At 38.7% G+C, this 12,185-nt stretch overlaps 1 protein-coding gene across 1 annotated transcript in view; it reads right to left on the bottom strand.

The window, feature by feature from the left end:
* CHD2 (chromodomain helicase DNA binding protein 2) overlaps positions 1-12,185 on the bottom strand; it is a 127,673-nt gene that overhangs the window by 33,557 nt on the left and 81,931 nt on the right. Inside the window, exons 25-28 of the mRNA NM_001271.4 lie at positions 9,940-10,110; positions 8,767-8,942; positions 2,923-2,964; positions 1,442-1,581 (exon numbers count right to left, since the gene is read on the bottom strand). Coding sequence (NP_001262.3) covers positions 1,442-1,581; positions 2,923-2,964; positions 8,767-8,942; positions 9,940-10,110 — 529 coding nt within the window. The remainder of the gene's footprint in view (positions 1-1,441; positions 1,582-2,922; positions 2,965-8,766; positions 8,943-9,939; positions 10,111-12,185) is intronic.

Here is a 12,185-nt window from a genome sequence, read left to right as displayed (position 1 = left end):
CAATAATATTAAGGTTATTATTGAATAATAAAATAATTTTTTATTATTAAAATCTTAAAAAGAAAAAAAGAAAATTTCAAAGCACAAATACTCACTTCTTAATAACAGCTAACATTGCAAGCCAGACGCCATTGCTAAACAATTTACAAGTATGGAATTATTCAATTATCCAAATCCTTTGAAGTAGATACTATTACTCTATTTTGCAAATGAGACAGTTGAAGGGATATAACTTGCCCAAAGTCTTATAACTAGAAGTGGTAGAACCAAAATTCCAGATAACTGACTGCCTCTTTCTCTGGAGCCTGAAGATTTAACCACAGCTCAACAAAGCTGCAGAAGGGTAGCCTTACCTAAGTAAAGGCTGTCCCCAAAAAATGCAGAAATGGCACAGATAAACCACAGTCTGGAGAAGTAGAATGATAATAACTTCATTTCTTTATTTTTTAATTAATTTATTTATATTTTGAGACAGGGTTTCGCTCTGTCACCCAGGCTGAAGTGCAGTGGCATGATCTCAACTCACTGCAGCGGCATGATCTCAACTCACTGCAGCCTCTGCCTCCTGGTCTCAATCGAACCTCCCACCTCAGCCTCCCATGTAGCTGGGATTACAGGTGTGCATCCTACTACTTTCGGCTAATTTTTAAACTGTTTGTAGAGACAAGGTCTCACTTACATATTGCCCAGACTGGACTTGAACTCCTGGGCTCAAGTGATCCTCTGGCCTCAGCCTCCCAAACTGCTGGGATTACAGGCGTGAGCCACTGCGCCTGGCCTCTCTTCGTTTCTTTAAAGTTCACTATGAGGGTGTCCTTACCAATAACTACTTCAGAGTTCTCTCCTCACAAGCATTCCTATACCTCTTGCTTTTAAAGATATCACACAGGACAGGCAAAATCACTTTCTGGTATCAAAGAGAAAACACACTGCATGTCCAATCCAATGAGAACAAATTCTAGTGGCATGAAAATCTCAACGTAACCCAAAAATGTTTACGATACTCATCCAATATTTTATTTATTCCAATTAATTCTCTAAATCCTTTGTGTTTGCCATAACGCACAATATATATCCAAGATAATTAACAATGCTTGTGATCTATAACACCTCTTATTTGCAGCCAAAATACAGAGGTGTCCACCAAGCTCTGCCCCTGGGTTTTTACATCACTCCGACGAATTTAAACTTTCTACAGCAACACAAAAAAAAACCATTTCATCTTTTTCTTCACTCTACACCTTCTGCAAATCAACTTCATTTGTGAGTAGACCTGTAGGAGAGTAGAATATTAAGCTCACAGAAACGCAGCTCAGAATAAACACCTGAAATCACTAGGCATGTGTGGTCCTCAAGCCTGTCCTTAAAACGCCCTTTAGCAACAGAAATCCAGTCCAAGAGTGCCAGGTTGCGAAGACTCACTAAAGCCAACTTCGCTTACCCTCGCTGGCATTTTCTTTCAGCTGCTCTTCGTATTCCTGCATTGCTGACACACAGCTGTTGTGGATCAGTTCACCCAGGCGCTTCAGATCTGCCACCGACTTATCTACCAGCTCAGCATCACGTGCTATGCACTCCAGCCTGAGGAGGAACAAATATGGGGACACTTTAGGACCCTGTGCCCACTCTTCTTAAGTGTCATGAGATGCCACTAGGCCTCACATAATCTTCTCCTGCAAAGACACTTTTCTTTGCGTTCCTTTAGTGGTCATTCTAAGGCTCCAACAAGAACCCCTGGACATTGACTGAAGGCTAACACATTCATTTTCCATCATAAAGAATTGTGTCTTGAATATTCCACAAAACAAAATAATTCCAAAAAACAGAGAGGAAAGAAAGAAACAAGCAAAGCAAAGTTTATTAAATAAATAGGCTGTTAGTGGCAGCAGGTGAAGTGCCTGAACACCATCCGTACTAGCTTGCTTCTTTTGTGTTCACTTTCCTTTCTCCAGCCTACTTTCATTCACTGCAATGCTCCTAGAAGCAGAGTATAGCTACTTCTACTATATGTTTAGTTGATCTCCATGTCATATGAAGCACACAACTACATTAACAGCTAAAAAACAGGCTGTCAAAAGGTGTCAAGCCCCCTTTTCCACATTCTATTGGCTTTTACGGTAACTGGCCCAAAAACAGACAGTCTACCCCTGGGTGGTCAGCAATAGTCCTGGAAAGATGCAACTGACCTTCTTGGCCTTGCTGTGGCTTAATGCTACACATCACTACCTCCTCGCCAAATGGAGAGGACCAAACAAAAACAGGCTTGTAATTTTCACCCACTCAAGAAGTTTATCAGAAGAAAGAGAAGGGAGCCCAGTATTTCCTTTAAATTAGGGCTTTTTAGATTTTATAGGAAGTAAAGTACCGAACCATTTCAAATAGAGTCTTCTGTTAAAATCTAACTTCTGAATTATTTTCTAAATGCTTATAGAATAGTAACAACAGCTACCCTTTTGGAAGTTTTTATAGTCAAGGCTATGTTAAGTCCTTTGTATTTAATCCTCATAAAATCCTGCTAATTAGCAGAAGATTATAAAATCATAAAGAGCCTTTTACCTTTGACATTATTAAATCTAAGAACTAGGATACAAATAATAACTACATACATTCTTTTCAACTGGAGTTACATGAACATCTCTCTGGAAATTATTTCACGCACTATGGTTTTGAATATACTTGCTTTATCTCCCTCACGAAGGTGAAAGTCTTTTTATGGATGGCCTGTCTTTATCATCTTTGTCATCCCTCTGCAGAGAGACATGAATGAACAGGCACCCAATATATAAATGTTTGTAAATAAATGTTTCCAGAAAAAAAAATGTTCCCAGCATTAGTATTAAATGGAAAAATTTACCAAAAAAGAACGTACTATATAATAAAAGCAAAAAAGAGGAAGATAAGGGACTATTACACTGAACTTACCGTTCAAGAGGGAGACCAAACTTCTTATAAGCCTTGATGAACCTAAGAATAGGATCAATAAAACATATTAAAAAAACAGAGACTTACTTTAGTTATGTTGATGCTAGCATATCCTGTGATGACATATGAGCCATGCAAATTGTCAAAAATAGAGTGGACTCAATCCTTGCACTACCAAAAAAATGAATAAATGTTGAATGTCTTTGAAACTAGTCAACTTAAAATAATGACTGCTAAAAATCTATTCAAATTAAAGATCAACTTTATTCTCAGTGACTGTACATAAACCTGCTTAGATAACATGCTAGAGAACTGTGACTTAGCTCTAATATCCTTTTTAGAAGATACAAGTTTATAGACTTCACTGTGTCATAAAGGATTCAATCATCACGACTCTATTGTGACAAACCCTTATATCGTTTCATCAGCGTATTCAGTTCACCACTGTTACCTTCAATACCATATTTTTCGTTATTAGAAAACCAATGATTTTTCAGCTGTTAAGATTTTTTTGACTGTCTCAAATAGTTTTTGGAATAAGGCACAGTAAAATATGATTTAAAACTTCTTAGGCAAACAATTTTGGAAACTCTACTGACCTCTCCTCCCAAAAATCCAATCTATCTTCCTGCAAGTCTCTACCCTAAACTATGCTACATACCAACTCATGCCATCATCCCCATTCCTACAGGCTGGTCACCAGTACTTTCCACTAAAAACCAGGACTTCATGACACATTAAGGGCATCATGTAATATGCCAAATTACTATGATAATTGGGTTATATAACCATGTAAGGACAGATGCTAAGGGAAAAATGGAAATGAGAAGACATGGCTACAGAATAAAATGGGACTGAATATGACAATAGCTAAAAACAACATTAAAGGAACAGCGCAGATACAAAGGTTAGGAAAGTATTATATATGAACAAAACCTGAGGATTACTCCTTAACTGCATTTCTCCTTCTTGACAGACACTGAAATATTTTATGTCTAAATAACAACACTTCCGAAATGACAGACTAAGGGTCTGTGAAAATCTGCTCCCCCATAAAAGCAATAGGAATGCTGGCATAAACGGTCACAATCAGTATTGTCACAACTCTGGAAATTAACCAAATGCGTGCAGCCATCTAAGAAATTTATTCAAGAAAATGGCTCAGCAAGCTTCAAGGCATTTTTTAACTTGCACTATTCCCACCCCTTAACCCCAGCTGCATGACAGCCTTCAAAACTAACACTTCTGCAACTACAATAGCTGTGTAACCAGCAGCACAGCAGCCACTGGAGGGTAAAGAAGAGGTTGAGAGTTCTCCAAAAGCCCTATTCCCCCAGAATGACTGGACCTGGCTAACAGCACCCTAAGAAGCTCCATTCTCAGGCTTGTCTTTATTGGACTGACCCAGAACTCACTGTGTGAATAGCCCTGTCCAAAATTCATTGGTCAAAAACAATTAGATGCAAAGATTTAACACCATGACGGCCTGAGGCAACATTACCAACTGGAAATAACAAAAGGTTGAACAAAGACAAAAAGAAAAACTGGGAGGAAAGATGTTCATAGGATAGATACTCTGAAAAGCTCTGACATGTGCAGGTCTGTGTCCATGCAGAGGAAAGATCTCAAAGGGTCCTTCCGCACGCTCCTGGGACACCCTCTGCGCTTTGGCTTCTTGTCATCATCAGACTCTTCTGTCTCACTCTCAGAAGCAGAGGATCTCTGGGCCTGCCTCTTGGACTCACTGTCAGAGTCACTGTCATTTGTCTGAGCCTGAGAAAGACCTTGAGCAACTGTGCAAGCAGGAACTGAAAGTTAAGGCAGAGTTGTCAATTGCCTTCCAGAGCATTGAAACGTGCCCCAACAACACATACCCAGCCCTTCAACAAAGGCTGGTAGACTTACAGGCTCAAAGCATTTAAGGAAATCTCTGTTCAATCATTAGCTGACCACTAAGCTAAAGGAGTAGAGACTACACATAGCATGACAAGGATCACATAACATGACAAAGAATACAGACTTCAGATAACTAGTACAGGAAAGTCACTAAACAAGCAAATACAACAGCAGCGGCAAACACAACACATGGCTGGGAGGGGAGATCTGATTTCCAGAGTTGCCATATGATTTAAAATGTCCAGTTTTTCACGGGAAAAATTACGGGACATATAGAAAACCAAAAAGTAAGCTGGGCATGGTGGCTCACGCCTGTAATCCGAGCACTTTGGGAGGCCGAGGCGGGTGGATCACCTGAGGTCAGGCGTTCGAGACCAGCCTGGCCAACATGGTGAAACCCTGTCTCTACTAAAAATATAAAAATTAGCTGGGCATTGTGGTGGGCACCTGTAATCCCAGCTACTCGGGAGGCTGAGGCAGGAGAATCACTTGAACCCAGGAGGCGGAGGTTGCAGTGAGCCAAAATCGCGCCATTGCACTCCAGCCTGGGTGATAGGAGCAAAACTCCATCTCAAAAAAAAAAAAAAAAAAAAAAAGTATGAAGTATGAAGTATACATAGGAAAAAAAGCAGGTAATAGAAACCATCCCTAAGGAAGTCTAGCATGTAGGCTTATAAGACAAGGATGCTAATCAGCTATTATAAATATTTACAAGAGTTAAAAAAAGTCTGCCTAGAGAATTAAAAAGAAAGGTCGAAAATGATATCAATAGAAACAGAAATGCTGTTTAAAAACGGACATTTTTTAAAGAGTGAAATAGAAATTCTAGAGTTGAAAACTACAATAACGGAAATGAAAAAAAAAATCACTGGTGAGGCTCAGCAGCAGATATTAGCCTGAAGAAGAGAGAACTGCCAAATCTGAAGATAGGCCAATTGAGATTATCCCACGTGAGAAACAGAAAAAAAGAAATTAAGACTTTCCTTCAAAAATGAAGATGAAATTAACAGTGCGAGCTAAGCCAAAATAGAGAATCCATTGTTAGCAGACCTGCCTCAAAATAAAATGCTAAAAGAGAGTCCTTTGGGCAGACATGAAAGGACATAAAATAGTAACTCAAATCACATGAAGAAATAAGAGCACCCATGGAATAATAGAGTAAGTAAATATAAAAACAGTATACATGCATTTTTGTAACTCTTTTCCTTCTATCTGATTTTAAAAGACAACTAACTAGGCTGGGTGTGGGTGGCTCACGCTTCTAATCCCAGCCCTTTGGGAGGCCGAGGCACACCGATCACCTGAGGTCAGAAGTTCAAGACCAGCCTGGCCAACATGGTGAAATCCCATCTCTACTAAAAATACAAAAATAATTAGCCAGCGTGGTGGCAGGAGCCAGTAATCTCAGCTACTTGGGAGGCTAAGGCAGGACAGTCACTTGAACCTGGGAAGTGGAGGTTGCAGTGGGCCGAGATTGCACCACTGTACCCCAGCCTTGGTGAGAAGAGCAAAACTCCGTCTCAAAAGAAAAAAAAAAAAGAGACAACTAACTATATAAAGTATGAATTATAAAACTGCATTGATGGGTTTAAAATGTGTAAAGATGTAATGTGCGACAACAGCACAAATGGGGATGGTGAGCTATAACTGGGGCAAAGTTTTTATAATGCCATTGAAATTAAATTGATGTTAATTCAAAGTAAATTGTTCTAAGATGTTACTTGTAATTTCTAGGGCAACCACTAAGAAAATAAGTGAAAAAAAAAGTTTTTTTTTTAAGGTAATTAAAATGGTATATTATATATTTAACACAAAGGAAAGTAGTAATGGGGAAATAAACAAAAAAAACATGACATATAGAAGACAAATAGCAAAATGCAGACATAATTCCTACTTTATAATAACTGCATTAAATGTAAATAGATTAAATACTGCAATCAAAAAAAAGAGATTGGCAGAAAAAATATTTTTAAAAAATTTTAAGATACCATCTTTTTTTTTTTTTCCTTCTTCTTTTAGAGAGTTTTGCTCTGTCACCCAGGCTGGAGTTTAGTGGTGCCATCTCGGCTCACTGCAAACCTTGGCCTCCTGGGTTCAAGCAATTCTCGTGCCTCAGCCTCAGCCTCCCAAGTACCTGGGACTGCAGGTGTGTACCACCACACCTGGCTAATTTTTTGTATTTTTAGTAGAGAGAGGGTTTCGCCATGTTGAGACCATGCTGGTCTCAAACTCCTAGGCTCCAGCGATCTGCCTGCCTTGGCCTCCCAAAGTGCTGGGATTACAGGCGTGAACCACCATGCCTGGCCAAATACCATTTTTTAAAATTTCAAATACCCAAAAAGAAAGCTGGAGTGGCTATACTAATATCAAACTGAAAATAGGAATTAAAACAAAAATTGTTACTACAGACAGAAATACATGTTACAATAAAAAGGCCAATCAAGACCTATCGATTATAAAAAATATATACAATTAATAAGAGTCCAAAAACACATGAAGCAAAAACTAACAATTGAAGAACAAATGGATCATATAAGAGTAACAGAGATGTCAACATCCCATTTTCAATAATGGGTAGAACAACTAGGCTGCGCACGGTGGCTCAGGCCTATAATCCCAACACTTTGGGAGGCTGAAGCAGGAGGATACTTGAGGCCAGGAGTCTGAGACCAGCCTGGGCAACATAATGAAACCTTGTCTCTACCAAAAAAAAAAATTTTTAATTAGCCAGACATGGTGGCACATGCCTGTAGACCTGGCTACCTGGGAGGCTGAGTGAAAAAGGCACTCAGGCAGGAGGATCACTTGAGCCCAGGAGTGTGAGGTTACAGTGAGATAGGATCATACTCCAGCCTGTGCAAGAGAGCAAGATTCTGACTCTACCAAAATAACCACAACTATACAGAAAATCAATGAAGAAATTAAAGACCTGAAAAACACTAAGCCAAATACAGCTATAGAACATACTGCCCCATAGCAGAAAACACATTCTTCTCAAAATAATACTGGGAATAGGGAGCAAGAAGAGGTGGGGTGTGTATATATACATACAATTTTGGCTACAAATTCAAAATTGTTAAGATGATAAGCACAAGAGGGGATGTGTTACATGCTATTCTGTCAGTATTTTGAAATATTTCTATTTTTCCATAGTAAATTAAACAAAGAAAGAAGAATAGGTGTGACCTTTAAGTGAAAAGAAACACCTCACAGTTTCAAATACATGAAACTTAAAGGACTATTTAATATAATTATAATATGGATTAGGCCTTAAAACCATCTTTATACTTTCTATTTTCTTCAGGCTTAAAAAAAAAAGATGGAAACTGGAAAAAAAATAATTTGTAAGCAACAATTTTAGATTTTTTTATGGAGGATAGAGACATTTGAATCAGATACCAAGAAATGTATAGTAATCACTCACATAGAAAGATGTCTAAAATGGATTTTAAATGGGATCGGGGAAAGCAAGGTGCTGAACAACATGCTGTACATACTACTTATAAATCAAAGCAAACCACTAGCAAACTGATGTCAGTACTAACACAGGTGGAAGTGGGATTGTGGCGGAGGGGAGAGGTAGTGAGGGTAGACTTATTTGTACCATTTTTATTTTTGATATTTCTTTTATATACAGATACATAAGTCTGTATATACATGTATGTCAATTATCTCCTTCCCCGAGCTGAACTTTGTGAAAATGTTCTGAATAACCAGAGAATAAGAGAGAAATAGAGAGATGAACAACAAATAAAAGTGATCTCAACAGAAAGAAACCTTGGAGAAGGAAGGATCATCCTACAGATCTGGGACAGGACCCAGCTTCTCTTTCCTTTTTTGTAGGTATTAGCCTCTGCCTACCCTGTCACGATGTCCAGGATCCAGTCAACCCAAGACTTACAGTACGCACTTTCAAACAAGCTCAGTGAGAACAGAGCCTCCACCAACCTTCGGATCTCTGCATCAGTAAATCCCTCCACGAGGTCCTTCCGCACACTCCTCGGACGCCCTCTGCGCTTTGGCTTCTTGTCATCATCAGAGTCTTCCGTTTCACTCTCAGAAGCAGAGGATCTCTGGGCCTGCCTCTTAGACTCAGTGTCAGAGTCACTGTCATTTGTCTGAGCCTGAGAAAGATCGAGGCAAAGTCACACTGTAACAAGTGCGAAGTTCAAGTGGTGAAAGGACTAAGAGAAGGCCATCTTAATTCTTTAGTATTCAGAACTTCTCACCATATCAGACAAGTCAATTTTCCTTTGACAAATAAGGGGAGACAGGTCTTGGAGAAATACCCACTTAGGACAGTCATACTTTCAGAGACATTGTAATATAACGATAAGTGAACTGGATTAAAAATATATGAATATTTTTACAATATCCCATTATAAAACAGGTTCATGTTTACTCCTTTGGGCAAGTAATTTTACTCTTTGTGCCTTTATTTTCTCATTTGAAAAATGAAGACAATAGTACCTATAACAGATGGTTTTCAGTAAGTTAAAGCACTTAGAAGTATGCCTAGCACATTGTAAGGGCTCAATAAATGGTAGCTAGTGTTACCTCATACTGATTTACTGTGACCTTGAACAAATCTGTGTCTATTACCTCCAACAAAATGGGTAAAAAAACTTGTTCTACCTATTTCAATGTTGTTACAAAAATCAAATTAGATAGTGTCTGTGATGGAGCTTTGTGAACTGTCAAGTTGGTATATGTTTCTTATTTATAGTTATATAATCCTTTACTAAGTATTTATATCAAGTGCTGTGAACTGTTATGGACAAACAGAGGTGTGACTTTCTGAAAGTTGAAGGCAGTGGCAATTAACAGCCAAACTGTGAGGACTACTCAAAGGCAAAATGCAAACTTCTGGAAATTTCAGACCCTGTTTATCAGCTTCACAAAGAGCCAATTTGCAAAGACCAAATCCGATGTCTCACAGGTGTGCTCAGGAGCTCTGCAGATTTCTCCACTTTCCTTTGTTAAGTTTCCTACAGTATCAACTCTGCTCCTGAAGCCTCTGTGTCAGGGGAACAATGCAAGGCCTCTTCTTTGAATAATCAACACTTCTGTAGCATTCACAACATAAGAAATAATTTCATATCTTTCATCTCACTTGATCACCTTTTTAGTGGAACTCCGAATTCGAGGCAGCATATAAATTTCTTCTAGCTCCTTCTGCCGCTCTTCCTCCTCTACTTTTTTCCTTTGTTCCTCTGGAATGATCTCATCCCAGTCCTTGTGAGGACGCTCTTCTAGCTCTTCTTCATCTTCCATTGTTGCAAAGTTGGCAACCTTAAAACAGACAACCCATTGTCTGACATTTCCCTATTTCTAAACACCATCTACTAAAACAATTTATCCAGTGTTTTTATCTAAGTAGACACTGTGAATAATAGGACTTTTGTGATATTACATAATCAGATAATCAATTTTCTATTAATTTTTCCTTTATACCCCCAAAAATCAACTTGTCAAGTCCTCAAGTTCATCACATCATAAATTTTACTGAAAAGCAGAGAAACAGCTACAAAGATACAAATTGTTTTTATAAGTTTTATTGAATGAGCTGTTATAAATCATATACATGTTCTAATAAATATAATACTAATGATAAAATTTAGATTTATTTAGATTTTAAAATGCTTAATACCTAATACTCCATGATGAACTTACATTTCTATAAGTTGTATAGAGTTCATTTGAAACAATGCATAACTCAAAGCACTCATTATCATCTAGCCAACTGGTTGCTTTATTCATTTTTATCAAAAATATGAAAGTTAAAGATGTGTGGTGATTTCATATGCTCACAAGTGCACTTTAGTCTTAGGAAATAAAATGAAAACATAAAACAGAAAAAATTTAAATAAATCTAGAAGAATATTCTCTTCATTTCTTATCAAATATTATTTAATATCCGATATGTATTTGTACTAAAACAGTAGGTATCCCAGAAAGAAAGCCATCTAAGTGTATCCATTTCAAAGAACCAGAGGAGGAGTACACAGAAACATCTACCACCTCTGGACAGCATCTGAGCAGTGGCAGGCAGCCCCCAGCCTGGCTCCGCATTCTTCTTATTCCCTCCCTCCTAGCCTTTGAGACAGTCATAAGGTATAAATGAGCTTCTGGAGGCTCCATTCCTTGGAGCCAACAGTGAAGTCAAGTTAAGACTCTTACTTTATGACTTTTGGCTAAAATTAACTAAAATTAAGATTGATGTAAATATGCACATACGTTAGTGGTTCATGCAGTAAGGAATTTAACTTTTCCAAAAGGGACATCGTGGTTAAAGGCCAGACTCTGGCCCTTAACTTAAGATAGTGCTTGAAACACAGTAAGAGTTACACAAGTGCAGGTTTTTATTGCTGAAGAAAGGAGCAGCAGTCACAGAGGTGGAACTGAGCTGAAACAGTGCAATGGACTGAATGTTTATGTTCTTCCCAAAAGTCATAGGATGAAATCCTAACTCCCAATGTAAGGTGTTAGGAGGTCATGAGGGTAGAGCCCTCATAATAGGATTACTGCCCTTATAAAAGGGACCCCCAGAGAGCTCTCTAGCTTCTCTCTCTCTACCATGGGAAGATAAGAAAAGTCAGCAGTCTGCAACCTGAGAGCCTCCACCAGAACCTGACCATGTTGGCACCCTGATCTCAAACTTCAAATCTTCAGAACTGTGAGAAATACATTTCTATTGTTTATAAACCACCCAGTCTACGGTATTTTACTGCAGGAGCCCAAACCGACTATGACGAACACTAATAAATCACCTTCCCCCTTCTCTACCCCATCCTCTGCATCCTAACCCATTAATCTAGGGCTCTCTGGCCCACTCAATTCCATCCTTGTTCTTCCATTGAAACAACTTCTACCAGTGGCCAGCTTTGGAGCTAATCACACAATATTGCTTCCTTCCAAACACTTCACACAATTTCCCCTAATTCAATTCAATCCTAATGGGCATACTACACTTAGCCATCATTGTAATCATCAGGTCTCTCTTGCTTCTCTACCTCCATGGAATCAACCCATGGTCAATCCTTCCTTCCAAGCTGTCACATGAATCTTGAAAACCTTTGCTATTTTGACTTTCCTGTGCCTCCCAAGCCAATCTCCCACCTTGGGATAGCCAACTGATCCAATTTCTCTGACCTCAAAAGTATTGCTGGAGAAAGTCATATGACCCTGCTGACTGGCTCCACGGCAAAGCTGTATCATCTCAATTCAGCTGACTCCCTATCAGGTTCCTCCCAACAACTTTCTGCCTCATCCATGGCTGTCCCAAATCTTTTCCACTTCTCAAGCAAACACCTCACTTACTTTACTAGTCATTAAGAGCATAAATTAAACTCCCACAGCATCTCTTT

This window comes from Homo sapiens, chromosome 15 (assembly GCF_000001405.40).
Source record: "Homo sapiens chromosome 15, GRCh38.p14 Primary Assembly".
Taxonomy (NCBI): Eukaryota; Metazoa; Chordata; class Mammalia; order Primates; family Hominidae; genus Homo; species Homo sapiens.
Note: the sequence above shows the minus strand (reverse complement) of the source record. Positions and strands in the feature narration are given on the sequence as shown.